Here is a 27,747-nt window from a genome sequence, read left to right on the forward strand (position 1 = left end):
CTTCATGGGGTCTGCAGCATGCGTGCCTTCCTGCCACGCTTCCCACTGCTTGCCCCACCTCGACAGGCTGCCCTGGGTCACTCCGGGCTGCATTTCCTCGGGCTGGGCCGTGAGGTCCTAACAGCTGGCCATAATCACAGTGGTGACAGCCTGTAATCACCACCACCAGAACTAAGTCCAGGCCACCGTCCTGGCCAGACGCCTCTCACATAGCCCTGGCTCAGCTTCAGCTAGGCCAGGTGGGCAGGGGAGGGAACCCGGGGCCACCAAGCATATCCTGACTCCACATGGGCTCTTGGCTTGGGAGCAGGTGTCCAAACGGCCTCTGGCACTCTGTCCTGGCTTGACGTATGTCATTAAAGAGAGGGGTCCTCACTCACTGCCCCATCCCTCTCTCCCTTTACTTTCTTCCGGTGATGCTCTGGCCTTCAGCACCCCCTGCAGTTGCATAAGGTTCCTTTCAACCTGGTGTGATGTGCCATGATCTTCTGTCTTTAGAGAGACTCCAAGGAACTATCAGGAGGGGAGGGAGCAAACTCTTGTTCCACCCAGAGGATGCAGGGATGGCGTTTCTGAGTAGAGTGTGTGTGTGTGGAAGTGGGGGGGGAGGGCCAGGTGGCTTCCAATGTCCCTTACACACCCACAGAATCAAGCATGTTGTGCCTCCCACCCCATGCCGGCCTGATCTGGCCTGACTGCCCTCCCCTTTCATGGTTCTCTCAACACATACCACCCTCTCCATCACACCTACAGTCTTGCTGCCATTTTCCTACTCACCTTCGAAGGCCAGACTCAATGCCCTTCCCCTGGAGGGCTTCTTTGATCTGCCTTCCATCCCTCAATGCCACTTGGGGCAGTTAAGGCTTCTCCCAAACCTTGTACATTTCTCATTGACCTCTCTGTGTTGTAGGTCTCCATTTATTATACGTAGTTTGCATGGGTTTCTATATGTAACGTGCTTTGAACAGTGCCTGGCACACAAGAAGTGCTAGAAGAGGTTGGCTATTTTTAGCATCATTATTAATATTTTTGTGTCTGTGTCTCTCCTAATAATAACACCTTCCACTTATAGAGCACTTACAATGTGCTGACATACATTGCTTGGTGCTATACACGTGTTATGTTATTATTATTCCCCTTTCTAAGGTGTGGAAACTGAGCTTGAAGGACTTCAGATTTCTTGCAAGAGACAGTGTCTCCCCAGCCTGAGACAGGCCAAGGAGCCGTCCCTGAATGAACAGATGAGCAAACCCCTGATGGAGAGCCCATGAGCGAAGCGTGGGTGCTTCCGGCTGAGATCTCTCAAACCCGCAGATGGAGGCTTGCCAGGCGGGGACACTGAGGCCTCATCTGGCCTCAGCCCCTGGAGGGGATTAGTGCCTGTGCCGGGCAGGGATCATTACCTCAGCCCCTTTCCTCCCTTTCTTTTCTAATGAAAACAAAAACAAAAATAAAAAAAAAGAAACCCACATACAAAACACAAGAAGTCCATAAAAACGTCCTCCTAGCTGCTGCCCCATCCTTTCAGCCTGAGGAACTGTTGGTTTGGTGGGCTGGCTTCAGGACAGCAGGCTGGTGTGCCCCTTGAGGTGCCCGGAGCTGGGGCCCCCACCATCAGAAGGCGAGACCAAGTAGGAGTTATGAATACTATGTCTCACAAGGTGCCCAAAGGCATTTTCTTTCACACTTTGAAAACCAAAGATGAAAACTCCCGCTTGGAGCCTGAGTGGGCTTTTTATTGCTTGGCAGGAGTCCCAGAGAAATGGGGCAGGACTGGTGGGTGGGGGGTGTGGAGGACAAGCCCCTCCAAATGCCCCCAGCCCACCTCCTGGGCCTGATTCTGCTCACAAAGCTCAGTCCCCCAGTCCAGATCCCCACCCCTTCCTAGGCTCACAATGGGGGAAACTGTCTCATGGCAAAGTGGCCTCAAAGCCAAACCAAACACTGCAAGTGTTCCCAGGCTCCACAGATGGCTGGCACCAAGAGGCCGCATCGGCTCTGAGTCAACAGGGACCCCAAAGTGGGGAAGAGGCCCTCTGCTTGGGCAGAAGGCAGAAGCCTGGCTCTAGCCTGTAGTGCGTTCCTGGCTTGCTGTGTGACTTTGGCAAGTGCTATCCTCTAGACCTCGGTTTCCCCATCAACACAATGAACAGGAACAGACCCGTGGACTTTAAAATGTTTACTAGCAGCAGAAGCCAGAGCGAGATCTTAGGTGGAAGCCCAAGGCAGAAAGCAAGGCTGTGTGTGTCTGAGACACTGTCAGCTGTCTGACCATGAGGCACCTCCAAGGGGCTCCCTGGAGCAGGGGTGGGTCTTGGCACTAGAGGGTCTCTGAGAGCCATCCCAGTCTAGGATCTGGGCATCCCAAGCCTTCTTGCCGGTACAAGGGGCTGGTGGGCTGTACCCTGACTGACCTCCTTAGAGAGCTTTTCAGCCTGAGGAGACCGGATTTGGGGCACACAGGGCCTGGGTCACAGGTGGCCCTCTGCCTGGGGATAGAGATCTCACTGTGATCACTTAGCAGAGACCCTGTTGTGATGCCAGTCTGGGCCTCAGCCTCTCTGGGCCAAGCAGGTCGGATGAGAGATCCAAAGCAACTGGTTTGCCTGCGGCTCTGGGTATCTAGGACTTTGTGATATCTAGGGCTCCTCCCGCCTCCACACCTTTGTCCACATGGTCTTCTGTGCTGGGAATGCCTTCACGCTTTGCTCAGCCTCACTGGGCCATGACTGATCAATTCCATCTTGGGCACAGGGCAGACAGGCTTGTTTTCTAATAGCTTCATAGCAGACCATAGCTGGAAGGGCCTGTCTGTCCCTCAGATGGGAAACTGGGCCCAGAGAGGAAACGGGACTTACCAAGATCACTCAGGAGAGCTGAGGCAGGGTCTCTGGACTGTGGCTCCAGGGCTCTTCAGTGGCACCACACTGGAAGCCATCTGTCCCTGGCCATGACACGAGACTTTTCCTCTTCCTGTCCCTCACTAGCACTAAATGCAGTATGTGCCCAATATGTTCCTGTCAAACTGGGGGAAGTTCACAGCACCCAACCAATGCCTCATTTAAGGGTTTGGCCAAAGGCCCTTTCTGCTAGGGTAGGGGGCTGGTCATCTCAGACCAGAGACTCTGAAAGTCACAGGTGTCAATACCAGCTGCAACTGTTACCGAGTGTTACTGGTGGTCTGATGCCAGCTTAAAGCTTACGAGCATCATCTCACATAATCTCTAAGCCTCAAAGTAAGTAAAAGGGGGGACTGGATTTGAACCCCATTCTGCCTGAATTTGTCTGTTTTTATTCATTGGATGATCCTGCTTCTCATTCTCATGGGGGCATCTTCTACCTCGAATCTGATGGGGTCATCTTCTGCCTCTAATCTGATGGGGTCCTGTCCTCACCTGGAGACTCTGCCCATCTCGAACCATCCCAGAAGGAGGACTGGCTGTGCTATGGGGAACTGGAGCTGGAGAATCTGGGGGCAGGAGGGAGACACTGCGTCTCTTCCCCTCTTTGAGAGCTCTAGCCATCTGCTCAAACTTCAGGGGAAGCTGAGACCCAGAGGACAATGACTCTGTGGCACATGTGTCCTGCACCCCCTCCCCCTGCATGGTGGAACTCACCAAGGCTCTGTATCTGTCTTGTCACCCACCTCTGTGCCCTGCTTTGGGCCATGCCTGACACTGGGAAGGTAGTCTCTTCCCTACACCTGGCCAGCATGACTTGCCCAAGGACTTCCAATCTAGATGGCCCAGACATTCTGCTCCCTGTTTATGAAACTCCCCTTCCTCTCCCATGTCAGCTGTGGACTTGGAGAATAAGAGCTGGCATGACCTCCAAAGACCCATCAAGGCCCTAACTGCACAAAAGGAGAAACAGAAGGAGTAGTACAGGTCCCACGCTGCACAGAAATGACCTCTACCCTGTTTTAGAGCACCCTGGTCACAGCCCTGCCCTTCCCCCAAGCCTGGCTCTCAGCGGTGGGGGTTCCCCAAGAATATTCTGCCACTGCACAGCCATCTGTGGACACACGCTTCGTCTGCCCTTTCCATGGGTCCCCATAAATCATCCTGCCATGGGCTACTGCTTCTCTAAACTTCCTCCAGTGTGTGTTTACATCTCCGGTAATGAGGGGCAAGGGGGAGGCCAGCCTGTTCCAGGTGGCATCCGGGACAGGCACTCCAGGCGCGTCCCTGGCTCACTCCCTCCTTCTCACACTCGCTCCCAGCCCAACCCGGATCTGATCCTCACGGCCTCCCAGCCTGGAGCATGAGTGAGGACTCGCAGTCTGTGCTACTGTGTCAGGACAGGGGCACCCACCGGCACTGCGTGGAGGAAGGGAGGCCTCAGCTGGGCCAGGGAGAGGGGGAAGGGCAACCACATGGTGCTGGGTGATGACAGCGACCCTTAGGGTCAGGCAGGTCTGCCTGACTCTCTGCCTGGCCTTAGGCAAGTTACCTAACCTGCTGAGTCTGTTTCCTCTGGTATAAAATAGGCCTACCTTCCACAATTCTTGACAGAAAAAGGGACAGAATGGAGGCAGGTATCTGGCACAGCAGGGGAAGCTTGACAAATATCCACTGGCACCCCACTCCAAGCAGAGAGAGGAGCAGGACGAAGGTGTGGAGGTGGGACGGGGCACCTCGGGTGGCACTCAGCCTGGTGAGGACAGGGGCAGCAGACCTCGAGGAAGCAGTGTGGTGGCTGAGGCGGAAAGAAGGTGAAGGCCCTGCATCTGGGCTGAGCAGCGGCGTGGGGGCACTGTAGGACCCCAGGCTGAGGAGCGGCCATATGGGAGGGCACTCGGGGCCAGGACGACAGGTGCAAGATGAGCTGGGAGAGGTGATGGGGAGTAGGAGATGGCTCCAATGGGGTTTCGGAGGAGAAAAATGAGAAATGGGAGTAAAAGCTTCCCCAAAAATGGTTTTGTTAGAAGGACTATCAGTGGGCCCCAGGTCACCCCCAGAGAGCTCTCATCTGCTTCTCTTAGAAAATTGGAAACCTGGGGACTGCAGGAGGGTGGGATGAGTCCCCTGGGAGCAACGGAGGCTGTGCCCTGCACCTGGGCCTCTCAGGGAGCTCAGGGCCTGCTCCCCTAGAAGCGGCAAGAAATTTCAACAAACAGGCTGCCAGGCGGTGGTGGAAACTTTCTTCTCCAACCCAATCAGATGGAATAAAGTTAGCCAACTGCAATTTACCTGTGGGGACAGAAAAGGGGCTCCCTTCTTGCCAAAGAAAAGCTGTTTTCTTCTCCTGAAATCAGGCTCTGTGTTTCGGAGCTATGTGTTGTGAGAAGGAAGCCGTTTGGAGTCATTTGCTGAAATTTACCTTCAGACATGGTTAGGGGCCGGAGCTCCATTGCTGGAGCTGACAGCCCAGCTTCCCGTCACCCCATGGGCTGGCCCCACCACTGGCCAGGTCTCCTGATTACCCTAGTGTGTTGATCAGGGCTCTGAGTGACCAGCCTAATTGGAACTTTTAATGGGTTGCCAGCTCCTTCACTTGCTTCAAGCCTCCCTGGCAGCTTGCAAACCCTCCCTGCCACTGACGAAAGTGGCTCTCAGTAACTCTATGCCCTCACTCCCGATTAGAAGGGGGAGGCCCATGCTGGGCACGTGAACCAAATGTGTCATAGCCAATATAGCCACAGTAATGCCTCTGCCTTAGGCAGGCAGGGTGATATGGTTAGGCTGTGTCTCCACCCAAATCTCATCTTGAATCGTAACTCCCATAATTCCCACGTGTTGTGGGAGGGATCTGGTGGGAGATAATTGAATCATGGGGGCGGTTTCCCACGTACTATTCTTGTGGCAGTGAATAAGTCTCATGAGATCTGAAGGTTTTATAACCCCTTTGGCTTGGTTCTCATTCTCTCTCTTTGCCTGCTGCCATGTAAGATGTGGCTTTGCTCCTCCTTGCCTTCTTTCATGATTGTGAGGCTTCCTCAGCCATGTGGAACTGTGAGTCAATGAAACCTCTTTTCTTTATAAATTACCCAGTCTCGGGTATGTCTTTATTAGCAGCATGAGAACAGACTAATACACAGGGCCAGGTTCTGCAGAAGTACATTTCTCAGTAACCCAAGGTTCTCTGAAACCAATGCCCAAAGGATCAATGGGCTTGACTCTTATTTGCTGGAAGTCTTTTAAAGATAGTGTGTACCCCACAGTTTATGATAATGGGCTGGACCATGGCAACATTTTGGCATTGGCTCTGAGACCTGGCTGTAGGAGATTCATGAAGTGCAAAGTGCAAGAGGCAGCCCTTGATTCCTTGTGGGGACCCTGGTCAAACCCTCTCCGACTCAGGCCTTGGTTCACCATCTATAATGCACAGTGTAGTCAGGGCTTCCCACAGCTGCTCAGAAGAATCTCCAGGTGTACACGCAACATACAGAGTCCCAGGCCCTTGTCCTACACATTCTGATACATGAGGTCTGCGGTGGGGCCTGAGAATCTGTTTATTTAACGAATAGCCAAGGTGATTCTCTCTAGGGTTTCGGGGGAAAATCCTGGATGGCGATCTCTAGGGTCCAGATGGAGAGTCTAAGGCTCCCCCTGATAGAGACTCTGAGATGGAGACTCTATGACTGCTAAGCATGGCATATTCAGAGCTGGGCCAGTGCAGTGGGTAGGATTCTACCCCATCACTGACAGTCCCTCCCTGGGACATTCCTTGTGCTCTAGCAACACTGTTCACTAAATATGGAGACTCCTGCCAAAAAGTGGAATCTGGGGAAACTCCTGTGTACTGAGATTGCAGGCAGAGGTTGGAAGACAGCATCCTGGTCACAGCAGGACTTTGGTGACAGACAAGCTGAGGTGGGTGGTAGAGGTGGCAGGAGGGGCATATAGGAAGAGGACAGAAGGGTCTCCGTGCATTAGGATGATTTCTCCTATCTGTCCATTTTCAACAAGATATATCACAAATCCCCCATCCACTCCTAAGACAGAGCCCACAGCTTCAAGGGCATTGATCACCATCTATCCCATCTCTCTCTTAGAGCACGGTTCCCTTTGCAGCCTCCCTGCCAGGGTGTCGGCTACTCACAGCTTCTAGGCACAGGGAGCTCATGCCTTTTGGCTTAGCCAGCTTGTTCCATTTTCTCCTAGTTTCACCTCCAGTCCATGGGACAAATGGCGCCCTGTTTGTACAGGTGTGTCCCAGGAAAGCTGAGTGCAAAGCAGATTTGTGCGCTGTGCCTGAAGAAAGCTTCTATTTCCTCACCTTTAAGGTGCAGAGAATTGTACTTGTTGTTGAATTGCTTTTGTTTTGAGAATAAAACTGAAAAATCAGATGGGAACGTGCTGTAGAAAGCCACCTGCCACACTTCCTTAGAGCAGGGCTGGCCTGACGACAGTGTGCCCAGCTGTGGGGGGTTCAGGGTATACTATCCCGGGTGCAGACGCCCAGCTCCTGGGCAGACCTGCCCTCCCTGGCTCACCTGTCCTCGATGCGGACCCAGAGGTCATTGAACTGCCGCGGCCGCTGGTGTGTGCTCTGCCTCTTGTGCCACTTCCTCTGCCGGCCAAACTCCTCCAGCTGGCTGAGGCTGTCGGGGAGCAGGAGGTGTGGGGACAGGGCTGGATCCTCATCCTCTGGTGGGGCGGTGGGGGTCACAGAGGGTGCTTCGGGGACAGCGGCAGCTGGGGTCACTGGGGCCGGGCTCGTCGAGGTCCCCTCAGGAGAGGGCGCTGGGCTCTGGGGGGCAGGGCTGGAAAGAGGTAATGGCACATGGGGCACATGTGTTGGAGAATGTCATCCATGTGTGGTGGGAATACAGTCCAATTCAGTGGGAGTTTGTCATGGCAGGAGAAAGTGCCAGGGTGCCCCTGCTGGGCCCGGTGACAGCAGCCCAGGAAAACCTCGTCTGGTGCTGAAAGCCAGTGCTTTGAGTCATGCCTTCATTTGTTTAGTCGACGGATATTTACTGAGCACCAACCCTGTCCCAGGCACTTTTTTAGGAGGTAGGTATCAGCATGATGGAAACAGACAATGCCTCTGATCTCTGAGAGCTTACATTCCAAAGCAGCAGACAGAGAGTAAAACAGAGGATGCCAGACGCTGCTAACTGCCGAGGAGCAAATGAAACAGAGACAGGTGTGAGAGTGGGGGTGAAGGGTGCTACTCAGGGAAGGTGGTCTGGTCACCAGCAGGTGACATTTGAGCCCAGGCTAGGAAGACGTGAGGGAGCGAGCCCTGGGTACGTCTCTGGGGCGTATCTGAGCTTGGTCAGGGTCTCATTTATTCAACAACTCTGGCTGAGACTTTAGGTGAGTTTAACCTCACTGTGCCTCAGTCTCCTACGCTGTGAAATGGGGGTGTTGCAGACTCTATCTCACAGGGTACTTCATCAGGATTATGAAGGTGAACACCGGCAAAGCACCGAGAACAGTGTCTGGCAAATAGTAAGCAGCCAAAACATTTAAGTAATTAAGATTATTAGCATTGTGCATTCATCCAACCTTCCATTCATACATTCAATACACATTTCCTGTGCACCTTTTCAGTGGAGCAAAGACAGTGTTAAGTAGTCAGAGCTGGAGGTAGACTGATGTGGGTCCACAGCCCGGCTCCACAACTTGCAAGCCGTGTGATGAAGGGCAAGTTACTTAATCATATCAAGCAGCAATGAGCTATAGCACAAGAATAATAATACTACCTACTTCATGGGGTTGTCATGAGGATGAATGAGATGAGGTCTTAACACAGTGCCTGGCACATAAGCCTCTCTTGGATGTTGGCCGACAAGCAAATAGACCTGGCTGTCAGGCAGGCGCTAAAGTGTCATTTGTCACATTGTGGAATTCATGTTTTATACAGGGGCATACACGTGCACCGCTTAGCCCAAGGGCACCCTCTGTTTTTCTCCCTTTTATTCTTTCCTCTCCATGGCCACAATAGAATTTGTTTTAGGGACATGTGATCCTGGGAGAAGGTTGGGAATGGTTTCAGGAATTGTGGCTGAGTGGGCAGCTTGCAAGGTTAGACAGTACCCAAGACAGCAGGCAGGCCGTCTTCCCAGCCCACTCTCACACGGCACGATGGGTGAGGAGCTTCTCTCTTTGAAGGAAAGAAGGCCATCAGCTCAGCCTCTCCTCCCCTACCCCCATGGCAACCCCAGATTCTCAGGATTCAGGCTGCCTGGAGATGCCGCAGCTGCTGGGGAGATAATTCAAAACAGTCAGACAAAAAGCTAGATCCAGGAAGCACCTGTGGCCGATGATGGCTTTTATTGTTGGAGCCTCCTCAGCATTCCCGCCCCCCTCCGCCCTGCCAACTCCCTTGCTCCCCCGTGCAGGAGGCTAAGGCTGAGAGTCCTTGGAGCAGAGCCCATGGGGGAGCTGTGGAGGGCCCCCTCCCCTAATGCCTGGGCTCTGAGATGAATAGGAGGCTCGCTAGCCTCACTGGCCTGCCTGCCTCCCCTGCCCTGGCCAGAACAGACACAATGAGCTTCAAGGGGAAGGTCCTTGGGGCTGCTGGGGTGAGGGCTGGGGTGAGGGGAGAGGAGGGAAACTTGAAGAAGGCTTTGTCCCTGAGGCTACCTTGGAATCCCCAACCCTCAAACACATGCTTGCCCCTGGCCCCCAGTATAAACTAATGCGTGCTGGGCCCAAACGGTTCAGGTAGGAAGAGCAGCCTTGTCAGTTTGACTCAGATGAGAAGTGGTGGGAGACTGGGATGAAGTCCCAATGTGAGGGTTTATCGAGACCTCAGTTCACCCTCAGAGCTGGTACAGGGAGTAATAGTTCAGGGAGGCCCTGGAGCCAGACTGCCACTTACACCGCTGTGTGTCCTTCTGCAAGTGACTTCACCTCTCTGGGCCTCATGTTCCTCAAGGATAAGGTGGGGAAACTCATAGCTTTGACCTCACAGGGCTGTTATGCAGATTAAATGAGTTAAAAGGTCTTAGAGCCTGGTACGGAGAGAGCAGTTAATAAATACTGGCTATGAAGATCCAAGCTTCTTTCAAACTCCGGGTCTTTATGCTGGAGCACGAGCTGCATGGAACCCTGGAGTCTGAGGATCCTGTCACTGACCTCTGGGGCTCCCCGGGACTCAGAGCCTGGCTCTCGCTGACACCTCTCATGTCTGGCCTGGTGCTGGTGCTGTGGAACCACAGATGGACTGAGCTGGTCCCTACCCTCGGGCAGCTCCCAGACTGTGGGGGTGGGGGTTGGAAGACCTGGCAGGAATAGCGGATGGCCATTAGTGGCTATTTGAGCAGGGTGGGTATGCCCTGGCAGGAAAGTTAGGGGTGAGGGGCATAGCCAGAGACAGCAACGGAGAAGGTGAGGACCAGGAGTGGGTGGGGCAGCAGGGCTGCCACAGAGTGGGGCTGTGACCCAGGAAAGAGACCAGGGCCCTGCCCATCCTCCCAGTACCATCTCGATTCAGAGCCAGGGCAGCCACAGTCTTCCAAGCAGCACCCAGGAGTTCTACTGAGTCCCTCTACCCCCGACCCAACCCACCATCTGTAAATCATAAGTACCTCTCCAGTCTTAACGCTGCTCTCACTCCCACCCATGCTCTGGCCCTGCTGTCACCTAGAGCCAAGACGGCTCACCAGCTCCTTCCCAATCTCCTGCCTCCAGCCCAGCCTTTCCATTCTTGCTTCCTGGTAGAGACCTGCCTCTGCCTCACCAGAAGCCTCTTCACAGCTCTCCTGAAAGCCTGGGCAGGAAGGCAGGGTCAGTGAGGGCCAAGGCACACCCAGATGTGGCTTACCTGTGTATGGCCTGCCCGGCGGGTGTGTGGTCCACCTCCAGCCCTGCCTGCCGCAGGATGTCGATGACTGTGTTGTTCCCCAGAAAGTGACCTGGAACACAAGTGACAAAAGGGGCTCAGCCACATGCCAGGCCACCGGCCACAGGGGACTGCCCCAGGCCATCCCCTAAGTTTGTATCTGGGCCAGTGACCTACACCAAAGTCAATGCCCCAGATTCCCTGAGAGGCAGTATAGCATAGAAGGTAAGACATGGTCCTGGTGCCACCCTGCCTGGGTTCAAATCCTGGCTCTGCCGCTCATTAACTGTATCTCCCCATGCCTCAGTTTCCTCATCTGCAAAGTGAGAATGGCTGTAATAGCAACATCCAGGGTTGCTGTGAGGATTATAAAAAACAGCTACCTGCACGTAGTAAGGGCTCTCCGTGCTTCCCTGGTGCATCTCTGTGCCTCACACCATGAAGCTGACCCCAGCCCCCCACAGTCCAGGCTGGGACAGCCTCCAGCAGTCACTCAAAGCCCAGCTCCAGGGAACCCTCAAGCCCCTAGCAGGGCTATGGCTCATCTTGGTAAGTTCTACCAGCAACTCAGGCCTCCCTCCTTTAGCATGGGAGTGGGGTTCTGTGTGTTCATGTGGGCCTCCTCACTCAGCTCCCAGAGAGCAGAGATGGCATCTCCACTGCCCTGCACAGGCTCAGCACCTACTGGCTGGATTCACAGACTCATCCACCTAGTACCTGTGGAGAACGCACTATGGGCCAGGTCCTGGGACTCACTGAGGTGTAAGATCCCAGCCGGGGTAACCAAAAACCCTGACTGATTGCAGGGCCTGGCAGACAGTGACGGTCACCTACAGGAGGCAGAAACATAGAACTGAACCCTCCAGAGGTGTGTGTGGGGAGAGGGGCTGGCCTCCATGTCAGTCCCCCACTCACTATTCATTCATTCAGCAAACATTCATGACAACCTTGCTCTGTGGTCAGTTCTGCACTAGGAACGATGAATACAGAAATGGGCAATTTAGTTGAAAGCCCCATTTGGGAGTGGAAATCGTCTTCCTGTGTTGGAATGCAGGCTTGATGTCTGAGTACTCAGGGGAGCCTCTCCTGGGCTCTGGTTGGGAAGAACCCTCAGGAGGCCCAGTGGCTCTGGACACAGGAGGTGCTGGGAGTCAACACTCTGGGATGTCCCTCTGCCTCGGGGGCCTCAGTCTCCCCCACCTGCTCAATGTGGTGCTTGTTCAGGGCCCATGGGCCCCTCCTGCCATGGGCCTGCCCTGTGGCTGCACTCATTAGGGAAGCACTCTCCCCTACTGCTCCCTGTTCATCCTGAACCCTAGGGGAGATCCCTGCACTATTCCTCTAATTGCCTGTGAATGGTGGTGACAGGTGGAAGCCAGAAGGTCAGCATGCTGACAGCCCCAGGGAGGTCTAGGAGAGTAGAAAGTGGACAGGCTGTTGGGGAACAGAGATGCTCTGGCAGAGGAAGCCAGCATAGAACTGCATAGTGGCTGGAGCAGAGAATGAACCGTGCTGCTGTCTTGCCCCACCAGCCTCGCACACCTCTGGGCTGGTTTCACAACTCCTCAGGAAGTCTCCCAGCCCAGTGATCTCCCTCTTGCTGACCATGCCCTGCCAGAGCATCTGGAGTTACCTTAGGCCTGGCTGACCATGCCTGACTATGTGCCATGTGGCTGGCTGACCCTGCCTCCCTGAAGTTTCACTTGAGGATCACTGGGAAAGGTCACTGGGCTTGGAATGTCAGAGGGCTCTAGTCTGGCAACCACCACACTTACTCTGAGACCTCAGGCAAGCATATTACCCTCTAATGCCCTCAGTTTCTTGCTATGCATAATATCTATAGGCTCTTCTGGCTCTCAGAGCCTATGGGGAAGGTTTTTGTTTCATTCCAGAGACCCTTATGAAAAGATACCTCCCTCTCTTATTTCCTTTCCCCACCTATTCATCTCGTTCATTTAATGAACACTGCCTAGGTGCATATCTTGTGCTGGGTAGTGATGAAGAGGCAGGGTCTTTTTCCAGGCACTCACAGACTTGAGAATGGGAATCCTGTAATCCGGGCACTAAGTATGATGGAGAGGGAACTGTTCACACAGGAGGCTGTGAGGGCACACAGGAGGCCTCTAAGCCAGCCTGGGGTCAAGCAGACTTCCTGGAGGGGGCACTGCTAGCTGCAGGGTGGGATAAGAGTTATCGAGGTGAGGATAGGAGTGGGTGGCACAGTGGGGGAGGCTGTTCCAGTAGGGGGAACAGCATGTGCAATGACTAGGAGGTGAATGAGGCACATTTGGGAAGCTAACTGCAGAAGAGGCATGGGCAGCACAGGCATGAACAGGCCCTTCCGGAGCTCTGGCCCTGACCTAGTGCTGTTGAGGACAAAAGATCCAGGCTCCCGCCAAGGCTCTCATTCTGCCCCGCAGCCTGTGATCCTAAGCAAGTGGCTTCCCTGCCACCAGCCTCAGTTTTCTTGTGCGTCAAACGGGCCTACAGTTCTTTGACCGACTCCTTGGGGCAACTGTAAAGCCCTAATGAGGCAGAAGAAGTGGATGTCCCTTGGAAAAGCCCAGAGTGCAGTACTGAGTGATGGGCTGGAGACAGTCCCCGGCAGGGCGGGGTCATCCCCACTCTTGCCTTTCCCCACAGCACCATAAAGCTGGAAAGGGACGGGAAGAGGCAGCCTCCAGCACGCAGGCTGGAGGAACTCTCTGCAAGCGGCTCTTGGACTCTACTCCTGGCAGCAAAGGCAACTCCTTTTCTGCCTCCTTGGAGACCTGTGCAAAGACAAGGCCTCCCAGCCCAACAGCGGTCCTCGCGTTTGCCCAGAGGATTTCAAGAGCTGCCAGGAAAAAAAGCCCTGCCTCGGGCTGTACAGGAGCAGCAGCAAATATTTACTGACTGCTGCGCGGCTGCTCCAAGAGGAGCGTTTCTGGGACTGAGTAGAGGAGACACTTAGAGGGCCCAGGCCTCAGCCCGGCCGATGGTGCAGGCCTCACCGGATGCCCACTGGATCCTGAGCACTGCGCGGCAATGGTCCACGTGTCTGGCCGGCGTTCCTATCCATCCCCTCAACCTCAACCATTCCACACCTTTATTGTTTTCTGTAAGACCCAAAACAGAAGACTTCAGATGCTTTGAGAAAATGAAACCAATCAGGAATAATCCTTCCAATTCCCATTCTCTCCTTCTCTAAGCCACACTCACCTTCCTTTCCCTCTGCCAGGGCAGGGAGAATGGTCACCTCCACCCAGGTGGCTACTCCTTGCACAACTCCAGGAGGCGCCATTCCCATGTGGCCTGTGCCCCAGAACTGTGTAATGCGGTTCCTGCGCTCCCGAGCCCATGTTTCTACCACCCTGCCCTCTCTGGGCTTGGTTTCACAGCACCCCACAGCTGGGTTGGCAACACTTGCAACGGCCCCAGTGCTCACGACTCCATTCCATCCTGGTTCTCTCTGTACTTCTCTCACTGCCCCCTATCTGTCCTGTTGGTGGGCTCCTCTTTCTCCTGCCCAGTCAATGTGGGAGCCCTGGGAACCATGCCCTTGGCCCTCTTCTTCTCACCCACAGACAGATCATCCACCCTGATGGTTTTGGTAACTACACAATGCTGACCACTCTGGAATTGCCACTTTTGCCCAGATGCATTTGTCCAGCGACCTACTGGGCATCTCCACCTAAACATCCTCAGAACCTATAGAATCCAACTCTTCCTTCTCTGCAACAATGTCTTGCGTCTCAACCAGGCTCTGCTATTCAACCTAAATAGGTCCTATCTTGATTCTCCTCGCTCCTCATCTTCATACGATCAGTTCCCAGAGGCCCCCTGCTGTGACCTCCTAAACGTGCTTGACTCTGGCCTAGGTCACCATCACCTTCTGCCTGAATCACTGCAGAAACTGCTCTCCTTGCTCTCTCTAGTTCACACCCCAGAGCTGACTTTGTCAGAACGTGCTCCCAACCCACCTGAGGGGGATCTAAGAGCTTTTTGAGGGCAGGGGTCATGCCTGATTCATCTTTATCCCCAGAGATAAACTCAAGTCTGGCATGTGGCAGTGGCTTTGTGAATGTGTGTTGAATGAATGAGTGAAAAAACCTGTTACTCCATATCCTTTCCATGATCTCATCCTATCCCCAGGAGACCTGAGCTCATGGATCTCCTCTTCTTGTAACTCAGCCCTGCCCCTTGGTGGTGCTCCTCCAGATTCTACCAATCCCAGGAATTTGGCCCTTGGACCAGCCCGAGTCAGGGCCCAGAGCATGCCGTCCTCAGGAGCTGGCAGACAGGAACCATGCTTGCCTCCAAGGTCAGAAATCCTAAAATAGGTGCCACACCTATCCTGGAACCTGCAGGGAAAGTCATGGAAAGTCTCCAAAGGGGCCCCACGATGTTGGGGCTCAGCCTGCAAGGCTTGCCCAGGCTCCCCAGGTCTCCTGGCCACGGCTCAGCAGCCCCTTCCAACACTGACAGCTGTTCTCTGGCCAGCTCTCTGCAGGAAGATACGTTCCATTTCATCTGCTGAGGCCTCGTGGATGAGAAGAGGAGGAAACAGAGGGAGGACCATGGGGTGGGGGGGTTGCGGCACACAGAGCCATGCAGACAAAGAGAGGGAGAGAGGAGAAAGAGAGAGAGAGGTAGGGAGAAGAGCAGAGAGATACTCACAGAAAGGGGCACGGAGGAGGAAGAGAGCTTCAGGAGCAGATGGAGAGCAGAAAGGCAATGTGGAGAGAAAGAGAAAGGGGCCCAGAGACAGGCAGTAAGAGACACAGAGACAACAGTAGGGAGAGAGGGAAGAAGAGACACCAAGAAAAACAGAAAGAGACAAGGACAGGACAAAGAGATACAAAGACACAGAGACAGAGAGGTAAGGAGAGAAGGGAGAAAGAGGAGAGAGGGAACTCAGAAATGAAGACAAAAAGCGTGGTGGAGACCAATTCACTGAGGACATCAGGGAAGGCTTCCGAGAGGAGGGGCTCATGTATCCAGTCATGTATCGAGGACTCCCCCAGGATGGGTGGGATTCAGATGCAGATGTAAGAGAAGACAGGCAAAGTAAGGAGAAGCAAGGGCCTAAAGGTGGACTGGATCTTAAAAATTGCGGGGCTGGGATGGTGCCTGCCTACCTTGAGAGAAGCCAGGGTCCCACATAAAGGACACTTATATACAAACAGGAAGAGGTTCCCTGCTCTGAGCAGGTGCAGCCCCCATGATGTTTTAGTGCAAAGAAAAAGACTCCCTTTCTCCTAAGCGCAATCTAGCCTATGCCAGGGCACAAGGCTCAGTGAGCAGAGCACAGGCCAAGGCCAGATCTACCCCGCCTCCCATCAGCCTGGCACAGCCTGACAGCCCCTGTTGATCCTCTGACATGGGAAGGCAGGGTAGAGCGAGTGCTGTCCTAGGGTTAGGACTGTTAGAACACCCCACTCATCAATTAACCATGTCACCTTGGGGAGTTTCCAGTCTCACTTTGTGCCTCAGTTTCCCCACATGGTGTTGGGCCCCATGGTCTCGGTCTCATGGGTCCTCCCACCTCTATGATTCCTTCGTTTGATGACCTGCACACATGCTCATACTTAGTGGGCCTCCCGAGTACAGGATGCTTCTCAAACGTCATTTCATTTCATCCTTGCAGCGGCCCTTTGAGGTGTTGCCAGTTTCCAGATGAGGAAACAGGCTCAGTGAGGGGACGTGACTCGCCCAAGGTCACACACCTGGTAAAAGGCAAAGCTTGGACTTCAATCCAGAGATGTCCCAGTTTACTGCATGTCCTACTACACCCACTCTGAAGTATTGGCAGCTGCAAGGGATCCTGAGTTCACATTTGGGGGCAGGAAATTGTCAGAAACATGCGTCCCTTCCAAGGTTCACCAGATCGGAGAGGAGAGTGTGCAAGTGCTCAGCAAGAATAACACACAATTAACAGGGCAGTTTCAGGACCGTGTTGAGGGGCTGGGCAGAGGGAGGAGGGGAGAACCAGATGTTCCCACAAAGGCTCCAAAGCAGCACTGGCTCCCCCCGATCAGCACACATGTTTTCTCTCCAGTGAGTATGCTGGGTTTCCAGTTTTCTCCTCCTGGAAGAGGCATCCCAAGCCCATATTTATGTTCCGTCTGAAATTAATGCAAGGGAAACTTTCAAATGCTAATCTAGCTGCCAGGACAGGCCGGCCGGATATCAAGCTATGGCGGTGTTTTTTTTCCTGAGGAAGTATGACAGGAGGGCTGGATGGGAGGGCCAGTGGAGGATGGACAACTGGTCTCTCAAAGAGTGTCTGGAGGGACACTGGCAGAGCCGAGCTTCCTTTCTCCTGCTTTGCAGGCCGCCCAGGGAAGGGCTAGGGACCTTTCAGTTCAGTGGGGCCTGAGATGACACCACCTCTGTACCCAACCTTGTGCCAGGAGCTGACACACAGTCCCCTCCCCTGAGGAGGTCACGGTATGGAGAGGGGGAGATGGGCAGGCAAACACTCACAGGACAGCATGAGCCATGCAGTGCCAGGGGCCATGGGGTTGAAGTGGAAGGAGAGGGACCCAGACTAAGGAGATGAGTGAGGAGTGAGAGGAAGAGAGGAGAAAGGGCATTCCTGGTAGAGCACAGCAGGATCAAATGCACGGAGGGGAGAGGTGGTGTGGCACGTGCTGGCCAACAGCAGTTCTGGGTTGCAGTAACATAAAGTGAAAGGAGAGGTGGCAATAGTGAGGGTTGGAACACGAGGGTGTCCCTCCTCCATGACATTCTGATTGCTGCAGGACATGGTGAAGGGGACAGATTCAAGCTGGGACCAAAAAACACTCTCCCAGGCAACTGTCCAGCTGTAAGGAAGTGAGTGCTCCACCCTGGGAGGTGTGTAAGCTGAGGGTCGAAGAGCACTTGTCAGGCCTGTGAGGGGTATTCAGACATCCTATGGGGAACTGCTGTGTCTGGGTGGAACCAGAGATTCTGCCTGCTTTAGCAGCCTTTACCAGCTGCTCCTCTTTGGAGGCTGTTAGAACGCAGGACGTCAGAAATGAAAGTGCCCCAGGTCTTCAGCTGGACAGCTCAGCTCTGCCATGAACAGCGCAAAGATGGTTACAAATTCCGAGAGGAGCAACCCTGCTGAGGCTAACAGAACTTGCCCTGTGTCACGCTGGCAGAAAGGGGCAGAGCTGGGCTCAAGCCCAGGCATGGCACGGGGTGCATCCATGTCAAGGCCCAGATCCAGGCAATGGCCATGCAGGCTGATTCCAGGTCAGCACAGGACAGAGCCTGTGATGGGTTCTGTGAACTGCAGGAGGCAGTGCTCAGCCAGGGATCTCCATGGCCATGTCAGTCACTCTTTACAACATCCAGAGGCTCCTTTTTTAGAATCACAACACCCCAGGACTCCTGGGAGCTCCCTGTTGGCAGGGACAGGGCCCCACGCCTCCTGAGCCTCAGTGCTACTTGGAGCTGAATTTGGCTCTTGGGGTTTTGCCACAGCGTCCCAGTTGCATCCTCAGAGGCCACCAAGCACTTCTGCCCCTCGACCCCAGTGGCTCTACTGTCTCCTGTGTGGGAGTCCTGTTCTTAGAGGACTTCGAGCTCTGAGGGGCCAGGGACCCTGAAATAATGGTGGCAACACAAGAGCTCACATTTACGGAATGACTGTGCAAGGCCAGGCCCTGAGTGCTAGTGAGCTGGATCTCAGGCTCATCTGCAGAGTGGGAGGCCGCAGGCTGAGAGAAGTGAAGCAACTGATCTGCCCAAGGCGACTTCTGATCAGGAGAACGCAGGGTTTCTAACTCACACAGTCTGGGTCCAAGCCCATGCTTTTAATCTACACTTTCTTCTCTTCTTGCCTTTCTCACACTGTCCAGGAAGAATGTTGAGCTCCCTGCCAGATTTGTACATTCTCCTTCACTGATGGAGCAGCCCTGGGATCTGTCCTGGGGTGTGGGCACTCTGTTCTTCTAGACTCTCCTCTGTTTCGGAGGGTGAGGGCTGGCTCCAGCTAGGGACAAGCCAGGAGGGGATGTTCCTCTGGCTGGCTGGATGTTCTGGCCTGAAGCAGCAACGGCGACTCTGGCCAAGGATTGCAGCCCTTCACAGGAATGCCAGTTGCCAGATGCATGCGTGGTGGGGTGGCAGGACCCTTTGAAGCACCGTTGGAAATTCTGAAACACTTCAGATGCTGTGGCCTCAAGCTCCAGCTTGGGGAGGGTGGCAGACCAGGGCGCTTGCCAGTGAGAGAGGATAGCAGCTGTTATTTTTGTTTGTTCATTTGTTTTGTTTTTTTTTAGAGATGAGGGTCTCACTCTGTCACCCAGGCTGGAGTGCAGCCTTGGCTCACTGCAGCCTTGACATCTGGGCTCAAGCAACCCTTCCACCTTAGCCTCTTGAGTATCTGGGACTATAGGCATGCATCACCATGACTATGACTGGCAAATTTTTTTATTTTTGTAGAAATGGGGTCTTGGGATATTGCCCAGGCTGGTCTCAAACTCCTGGCTTCAGGTGATTCTCCTGCCTCAGCCTCCCAAAGTGCTGGGACTACAAATGTGAGCCACTGTGACTGGCCTGCCTCTTGTTTCCAAGGTGAAAAAGGCCCTATATGGACGATGGCCGCTCTTCTGTGCCCAGCTATGAGCTCTGAAGGGCTGCCATTCTGACGCCACCAAGTGAAGAACCATGATGGGGAAGGAGGTTGGTGTGGGTCTTGCCCTGAGGACTATGGAGATGATGAGTAAACTGGAAGGCAGCTGGATCTGCATCAGGGAAATTTCAACTGGTTTTCACCTCCTCCAGGAAGCTTTCTCTAACTTACCCTGCCTCCTTTCAGTGCCAGTCACTCAAACCTCTGTTAGACATGTGTGGAAACGCTGAATGTTGGGGGCTAAAGGGGACCTTGGACCTAGCTCTGTCTAAAGCCCCTCACTGTGCAGACAGAGGAGGAAAGACTCTGAGAAGGCCACATAGAAGATCTCAGAATCCCCTTTCTACCCTCACGTCTTTGGCGTAACTCTCACCTTGCTCTATTTTCTTTCTTTTCTGGCTTTTCCCTACCTAATCATCTTGCCGCCTCCCCTCCCTACAAATGCTCCTGCTTAGCACTAAACTCCCCCTCCTCTAGCTGTGATTGCATGGTTTACTCAGCAGTACCTGGGACTCTCTTTCCTTAGGTCTTTTCACCTGTCAATCTAGCCTCAGCTTCCAAAGGCAGATGTGATGTGGTTGGACCCCTCAGTCTCCCACCATGGGGGCAGAAGATGTAGGTTTTAGGCTGGGTTTTGCTGTGGGATAATGTAGAAGCAGGCAGCATTTCTGTTTATGGACCTCAGGGTTGGTGCATTCATTCATTCATTCATTCATTCATTCAACAAGTGGGTAATACGCACCTTCTTAGTGCTCAGGGAGTGGACATCCTAGACTGGGAGCATGAGAGAGGCTGTGATAGCAAAATCCTGGAGGCCTATGGGAGCCCAGAAGGGAAATCAGGGAAGGCCCAGCAGAAGAATTCCCAGCAGAACAGAGGGCCCAAGTGACAGCTGGATGGATTTTTTAGGGATCAGGATGACTTCCTGGTCATCAGGAAGAATGACCTAGACAATGTGACCACCATTTCACTTCAGTTCTAAGACTCTCTGACATCCCATCTGTACTTGGATTTACTGACCAGCCAAATGGAATAATAAATACCATCCTGTTTCCCTCCAAGAGGAATTGAGGATGTGGAAGGGCCATATAAGTTGATGGATATGGGAATTTTTTCAAGCAGGATGGTGTCCACTCTCTAGGGAGCAATTTCTAACGTTATGAATTTTAAAAGGTGTTAATGGTATTCTGTGTGTTGGTCTTATATCTCTCCCTTCTCTCAAGCCTGGGTGCTTACCTCTGATCTGCTTCTGTGTCCCAGCTTCACAGGTGTGTTTTGGATTATGGGGTCTGCGGCACTCTAGCTGGGGTAGAAACAGGCTGGCATGAGCCTGGGGGCTGCATGTGCCAAATGTGTGGGTGCCTGAGTAATGGAGCCAGCCTCTCTGTCTCTGGTGCTCACACTGCTTGCCTCTTAACTCTTCAAGTTCTGCCTTCTGCCTGGACTTCTGCTCCCTGTGGAGCAGGTGACAGCAGTCCTGCGAAGAGTGATTTCCATTCCTGGAAGGCTCTTAGCTCCATACTCCTCCCAAGGAATCCAAGAGAGGCTGGAGCAAATAATGCTAGCATGTTAGAAGGCTCTGATTACAGCATGCTGGAATATTAGAGCTGTGCAACTTTAAAGCAACAGCATGTTAGGGTCAAGGATTTTGGAATGTCAGAAGTTAGAATTATACTCAGATTATAGCACGTGCTAGGGACGGAGTGTGTGATAACCACTGGTTCTCAGAGTTTGAAATGAATGGGCCCTAGAGGTTACCTGGTCCACCCCTGAGTCCGGCTCATGTCTCCAGCCCAGTTCCTCTAATTCCTACATTACTCATTCTAGTCCAGGAAAAAAGAATGCTAGAAGATTTCTGGATGGCTGAACAAGTAAATATCCTGAGAAACCTGTTTCCCTGGAACTAAGGGTAAAATTGTAATTTTCTTCTAGTGCATAAGACTGGACCCCACCCCCACAATTGGGCCTGGAGATACCTTGACTCAATGGAATGAACTTCATTCTGTGTGATTTGGTCCAGTATGTCCTCACAGAACATCTCCTAGGTGTCAGCAATTCTGAGGCGTATGTGCCCTGTCCTGGAGTAGTTCACATGCAATGGGATGATCACTGAGCAGTGGGTGCTAGGATAAAATCAGCACACAGGCCTGGGTGACAACATCCACATTTACACCCCAGCTGCTTGGTGTTGCTGGAGAAAATCTTACACCCGTGACTTGGCAGGTTCATGGGCCCTCATTGCAGTCAGCATCCTCTATGTTCCTAGCATAGACAGAGCAGATTTGTAGCTGGCATGTGCCCTAATCTCGGTCCCCAGCAGACATCACAAATCAATAAGGGCCTCTTCTCTGCTGGGCTCTGATGCGACTTTATCATCTTATACCATAACGTTCCAGGCAGGTGCTACCAATCAATCATAATGGCCCATGGGAGGAAACATCTTTAACTTCTTGTCCTGGTCAGTTCTTGTGGCCAATTTCTCTTATGTCAAATAGTCTCACCTCTTCAAACCAAGAATCCTCCCTTCTCTCTCCTCTTCCTCTGTGGATGACTTCACCTTCTACTTCAGACAGTGGTGCTCTGATTAGAAGCCATCAGCTGAGAATTTGCTCCCTTTTTGGCTGCCAAATTACTTGCCTGCCAGCCTCCTCCCTCCTTCCCTTCAGTTACAGGTGAAGAGGTGTCTTCCTCCACCCAAGGCGTCCTCCTCAACCCTGCACCCAAGCTCTGGTCCCCACCTTGCTGCCTTCTTGGAACCTCAGGCTTATCATTTTTCCCCCCTCTCTCCTGTATCATCAGCCTCACTCATCCTAGAATATTCTCTTCCTCATATTTCAAGCATGCTCAATTCTTTCTCATCTTAAAAAAAAAAAAGGTAGGTGAGTGGGAAGAACAATGCAATTACCAGATTTTCATTTTGCCAAATGAGGACTTTGAGACTTTTATCTGCTTCCCACCATCATCTTTTTAATTTTCTTAAGTAAGGAATATTTTAACTTCAAACACAGTTGAAAGGAGATAATTTCAGAATATAAACCTGTAAATTGAATAAATTTAGCTAACAAGGAATTCACCACCTTGTACTTATTTTTCTGTTAATTGTACCAGAGGAAACCCAAGGACCTGCATCTACAAGCAACTGGACTAGAAAATCTTGGGGGGCTCTTGAGGCTCAGCCTGTCCAGCTACAGGAGCTCAGCAGACAGAAAATGGGCTTTTCCTCCCCTCTGGATGACACACCCCTCCATGGCCACAGCCTGGCTACTTCCAGAACATCTGGGCTTGCACACTGGCCACAGCCACCTCCTGGATAGGGAGGGCTTCCATCTGGGCCCCCCCAGCATCACCCAGGCCTGCTCAAGGTTGTCACACATTTGCACCCCACCTGCCCTGAACTGCAGGGTAACCTCTAGAAGAGGTCACACAGTGCCAGGTTGCAGAAACATCACAGATGCTAAGAGTATTTCATGAGAGGCACCAGCTAAACAGGCACTCGTTTCCACAAAATCATCAACACTTTTGTATGCATACAGCAAGGGCACCACGTGCAAGGGAAATGGCCACACCTGGGACTCAAGAGGCCAGGCTTCCCATGGCAGGTCTGCCTCCATGGCCTTGAGGAAGCCGTTCATCTTCCCTGAGGCTTTGTTTTCATCTGCAAAATGAGTATCATTAAAATCCATCTCGTGGTGTTACGTAATCAGAGAGCCTGGAATGGTGGCTGGCACATAGTAAGGGCTTTTATGATAAGAACCCTTCCACCATGGAAGAGCATTTTAATACTGTGTTCTCAAATGAGTGTATCCAGAACAATCCCATGAGGCAGATGTATTGTCCCAGTTTTACAGATGAGGGACTGAGGCCCTTGGAGGTGAAATGGCTTTCCCAGCATCTCTTAGCTCACAGTGGCAGAGCCATACTTTACACCCAGGCCTCCTGACCCCAAAGCTCTTACCCTTTGCACTGAAGCCCCCTCAGAGCAGAAGAGAGGAGAAGCCAGACTGCAGTCAGCACTGGAAATCCCTGTCTGTCCTCGCAGGCTCTCAGGGCAGGATTCTGGAGCTGGGCTGGGTCGGGGTTGGGTCCTAACAAGCACTGGAGGGGCCAGGCAGGCGGAGGCTCAATCTCTCACCTTCACATGCTTGGCCCCATCCAGACTCCAGAACCACAGAGCTTTCAGGAACTTCAGCTGGACACTGAGGCTGGGCCTGTCGTGGAATGACAGAAGAGCCCCCAGCAGGGGCTTGGCTCAGACACCTGGCAAGGCTGGGTTGGTGGGGGTCATATGTTTCTATTTCCAGAGATGTTTCTTAGAGATACCCATGGACTCTAGGCTTGAGAGACATTTGCATGAGCAGACACATGCCTGGGGGATGGATAGCTGCATTCCTGGTAGTATAGACCCTTCCTACATCCCATAGCCTTGGGGGTCTTATGAGTTATTTGGGACCTGGCAGGCAATGGGCTGCGAGAGCCCACTGAGTCCCAGGGTCCCCACTGCCCGGCAGTCCGGGGACAGAACTGCAGGGGCCCCCAGGTGGGTAGGTGAGGAGTGGAGCGGGTATGTCTTCAGGTCTCACTCCACCAAGAGAGTGCTTAGTCCCAGCTCTGCACGTAAGTCAGCCTGTCACCAGATGTGGGACTCAGAAATTACATGATCATAAGAATGTAACGAGGCCGGAGTGGACTTCCCTCACCACAGCTTTCATGCGGATGCGTTCCATGTCAATAGGATGACTCTGTAACAGGCCCGCTGGGGTGGCTCAATGCCCTGCACACAAAAACAGAGCCCTTGGATCATAGATCCTGGGCCTAGGGTACGGTTCTGGCCTTGTCCTGGACTTTCTGGGGGCTTTGCTCATGTCCCTGCCCTCTGTGGACCTCAGTTGTCCCACAGCCAGGATGAGGTGGGCAGCTCAAGCTCAGAGGCTCTGTCCAGCTTGGAAATTCTTGGGTGGAAAGGAGATCTGCTGTGCAGAGTGGGCCATTTGTTCCAGGCATGGCTGAGCCAGGAGAAGTGGCAGCTGCCAGCAGGATCTGCACGTGGCTCCAGATCTGTTGTTTTTGGAGAGTGGATTCATGAGAGCGGAGGTGAGTCTCCCTTTGCCCTGACTTTACTGCTGGCCTATCCTTATAAATTCACCAGCCCAGAGGAGAACAGGATGGGAGACCCTGGTCAACGTTCATTTCTTCACTCATTCATTCTTTCATTCACTCAGCAAACTTAAAGCCTATTACATGCTACCAAAGACACAGCGATGATTAAGTGGTGCCCCACCTCTGAGGCGAGCATGGGAGACAAAGCCAGCACCACTCACTGACCACAATGTGGGGAGGAGTCCAGAGGCAGGGAGGAGGGGAGGAGGCTGGGACTGGGATAGTGCCAGTGGGCATGGACAGAATGGATGGGTGTGAGGTCTTTCTGGTGGCCTGTCAACAGGATTCACTGGGGACTGATTACATTTTGGAGATGGGAGAAGCTGGCGTTTGGCATGCCTGTGTGCTGGCCTGTTGCTGGAGTGGACATCAGTGCCCCTACAAACCTAGGGTTTCAGGAAAAGGAGGTTAGTGTCCACGGCTCCCCTCACTGCTGTGATTTTCATTGTTAGACTCTTCTGCTTTCTTGCTCACAGACAGAGCTGGTGGTAGCTACCCCCAGCCCTGGGAGACTCTGCTCCTGGGTCCTGGGGCAGGCAGGACTACTCAGGTGGGGTGTGTAGAATGAAGGCCCCTTCACTGACTGCACTCTCTGGGGGCTCCCCTTAGGCCTGGGGAGGAGCCTGGGGGCTGGATGACTCAGGGTGGTTCCCCATTTGGAGTCTACTGGGGGCTGTTCCAGAGCAGGATGCACTGCCCTGATGCCTATAGGAGGGAGGGCGGAAGAGGCAGCTGGATGGTGAGGGAGTGGGAGGGGACTCTTCCCTGCACAGTCCTCAAAGCTGTCCTGACTCACACCGAGCTCCCAGCAGGTGCCCTGCGGCTGGAGAGTGGCTTACCCTCTCCATGCTGCCAGTCAATGTCCTGCTCCTGCCCCTACACCCCTACAGGAATCCCTCCCTTCTCTAAAACCTATGGCTGAATAGCTCTGGAATCCTAGATGGCCCAAGTGAGTCCTGGCTCTTCCTGTTCAGATGGGTAAACTGAGGCTACAAGAGGGAAAGAGACTTGCCGGAGGCCACAACAGGCCACAGCAGAGATCCTGCATGAACCCAGAACTCTTTCTGCCCAACTGCTGTGCCTTAAAGGTGCTGTCCCAGGAGGACTGTATCTACTTCTGAGCCCCTCCCCTGTGTCTCTACTACGTGAGGGCTGCAAAGGAGGGGCGAGGCCCAGCAGATGTGCCTCTGGCTCTTGCCCTTAAGGATGAATGTTCAAACAGTGGACATATCCCATTACAAAATCAGGACATCCACAAGGGCCCTGGTGGGTTAGACTGACTGCTCGCCCTGGAGGGCGGCATGAGGGTGACAGGAGGGGAAGGGAACACAGTGGCACCAGGTGTGGTGAGCATGTCCAGGAGCCATCTCATTAATTCTCACAATGCAGGAGGTGAGTTCTGGCAACCCAAATTGCAGGTAACATGAGCAAGAAATAAATGTCTGTTGCTGTCAGTTACTGAGCAAAAGCTGGTTAGTAACAAGAGGCAAACACAATATCCTGGTCCCAGTGTAAACATAGTGTTACTGGCAGGGACAGCCATATAGAAGGAAACAAAGAGTGAGGGAGGAGAGGAAAAATGAAAGGCAAAGGAACAGGGAGAGAAATGCTAAGTGAGCCCTGCACCTGAACATGTAGACTCCCCTTTGCATGAGGAGGCCAGGTCCCCCAGAAGCAAGCATCAAGTTCACTGTTCCATGTGTGATGATCACACTTATACTCAGTATCATCATCATCATGATGATCATTGCAGCTGCCTTTTTGAGTTCCTACTATGTGGCAGGTTATTTTTAAAATATTATCACTAATCTTTACAACTATTCTACAAAGTAGATATTTTCAGTTCATCAAATAGTTATTGCTATCACTGCCCATTTATATAAGAAAGAATTGAGTCTTTGAGAAGGTACCAGCCAAGGTGATGTGGATGGGCTGGGATCTAGAGCCAGGACTGTGGGACGCCAGAGCCAGCCTCTCCCTCTGGGGCCACATGTGCTTCACAGCCTTGCTCCTGGCTCTGTGGGTGGGCCTGAGGCTGGGCTGGGCAGTGGGAGCTGGCTTTAGTCCTGGGCTCTCACATGGCTGCCTGGGGGCATGAAGGCACCACAGAAATTATCCTGGCCATGGCAGGGGTCATCACTCCCCTTTCCCGTGGGGACCGTTATGGAAGAACCCTTGACCCGAATCAGGAGAACTGCCTTGGATCTCGGTGCTGCTGCTAAGCACTGTGTGGCTTTTCCTGCCCCATCCTGGGCCTCGACTTCTCCCTCGATGAAGTAGAGGTTAGGGGAGAGCCAAGCAAATCTCCCAGGATTCTGCAAACAATCCCTTCCCCACACTGGCCCAAACCTGCTCCGAAGGCAAAGAAGCAGATCTTGTCCTCGTTCTCCCGTAGAAGCGCCATGACCCTCTTCCCCATGCGCTCATTCCTCTTGTAGATGAGCTCCTGGCGGAAGTAGCTGTCAATCTCCTGGGCCGTCACCTGCTCGTGTGGCGGGAGGGTGGTGTTGATAAAGTTGGGCAGCTGCAAAGGCAAGACAGAGGCTGCCTTCAGTTTTTTTTTTTTTTTTTTTTTTGATAAAGGGTGTTACTGTCACCCAGGTTGGAGTGCAGTGGCTCACTGCAGCCTCAACTCTCTGGCTCAAGCCATCCTCCTGCCTCAGCCTCCCAAATAGGTATGAACCACCATGACTAGCTAATTTTTAAATATTTTGTAGAGATTGAATCCCACTATGTTGCCCTGGCTGATCTCGAACTCCTCCTGGCTCAAGCAATCCTCCTGCCTTGGCTTCGCAAAGTGCTAGGATTATAGGCATGAGCCACTGCGCATGACCTGCTGTCAGTTCTTTATGGAGCAAGGTGGACTTAGGATAAGTATGCACAGCCCCAGTGGGGCTGGGCAACTTCCTTTTATGAGGCCCCTACAGTGGGCTACATGTTTTGTACATGTTTCTCATCAATTCCAAAATCCTCTCAGATAAGCATTGTTATTCCAGTTTTACAGATGAAGCAAGCAAGAGTGGAAAAGATCCAGAGATGTGCTGGCAGTGCCAGGATAAGGCCTAGCTTCTGGGCTTCCACATGTGTTGCTCTGCCTTGTGTCTCTGCCCTGCTGAACCTCAGCAGATGCTGAGGTCTGGGGAGGCTGGCACTGTGCTCATCTTGTTAACTGCTCTCACTTCACCGCCGAGCCTGGTGCTGGCAAGTACAAGGAATTTAGTTCAGCAAGAGGATGTGCAGGG

General features: G+C 53.1%; 1 protein-coding gene across 12 annotated transcripts in view, besides 3 other annotated features; it reads right to left on the minus strand.

Annotated features, from left to right (window-relative positions):
• Window positions 1–27,747, minus strand: part of TRABD2B (TraB domain containing 2B) — a 236,858-nt gene that overhangs the window by 7,204 nt on the left and 201,907 nt on the right. For 3 of the 12 annotated variants that reach the window (XM_024446935.2, NM_001194986.2, XM_047420060.1), the window contains 3 exons: window positions 26,855–27,029; window positions 10,723–10,813; window positions 7,439–7,708 (listed from right to left, as the gene is read on the minus strand). In XM_024446935.2, the coding sequence (XP_024302703.1) occupies window positions 7,439–7,708; window positions 10,723–10,813; window positions 26,855–27,029 (536 nt within the window). Of the gene's footprint in view, window positions 1–5,972; window positions 7,279–7,438; window positions 7,709–9,191; window positions 10,104–10,722; window positions 10,814–13,733; window positions 13,839–26,854; window positions 27,030–27,747 lie in introns of those variants that run through there. The other 9 variants (XM_024446933.2, XM_006710640.5, XM_017001263.3 and 6 more) reach the window with 6 other exon arrangements.
• Window positions 7,584–8,118: an enhancer, noted in NCBI's record as "H3K4me1 hESC enhancer chr1:48240987-48241521 (GRCh37/hg19 assembly coordinates)". NCBI's record gives its function as "activates a minimal SCP1, AML or CMV promoter by ChIP-STARR-seq in primed H9 embryonic stem cells {active_cell/tissue: H9 hESC(primed)}" and the evidence as "EXISTENCE:reporter gene assay evidence [ECO:0000049][PMID:30033119]".
• Window positions 18,188–18,688: an enhancer, noted in NCBI's record as "H3K4me1 hESC enhancer chr1:48251591-48252091 (GRCh37/hg19 assembly coordinates)". NCBI's record gives its function as "activates a minimal SCP1, AML or CMV promoter by ChIP-STARR-seq in naive H9 embryonic stem cells {active_cell/tissue: H9 hESC(naive)}" and the evidence as "EXISTENCE:reporter gene assay evidence [ECO:0000049][PMID:30033119]".
• Window positions 26,484–26,717: a silencer, noted in NCBI's record as "fragment chr1:48259887-48260120 (GRCh37/hg19 assembly coordinates)". NCBI's record gives its function as "represses an EF-1alpha promoter that drives an FKBP-Casp9 reporter gene in an ReSE screen in phorbol 12-myristate 13-acetate-treated (for megakaryocytic differentiation) K562 erythroleukemia cells {active_cell/tissue: K562(+PMA)}" and the evidence as "EXISTENCE:reporter gene assay evidence [ECO:0000049][PMID:32094911]".

This window comes from Homo sapiens, chromosome 1 (assembly GCF_000001405.40).
Source record: "Homo sapiens chromosome 1, GRCh38.p14 Primary Assembly".
Taxonomy (NCBI): Eukaryota; Metazoa; Chordata; class Mammalia; order Primates; family Hominidae; genus Homo; species Homo sapiens.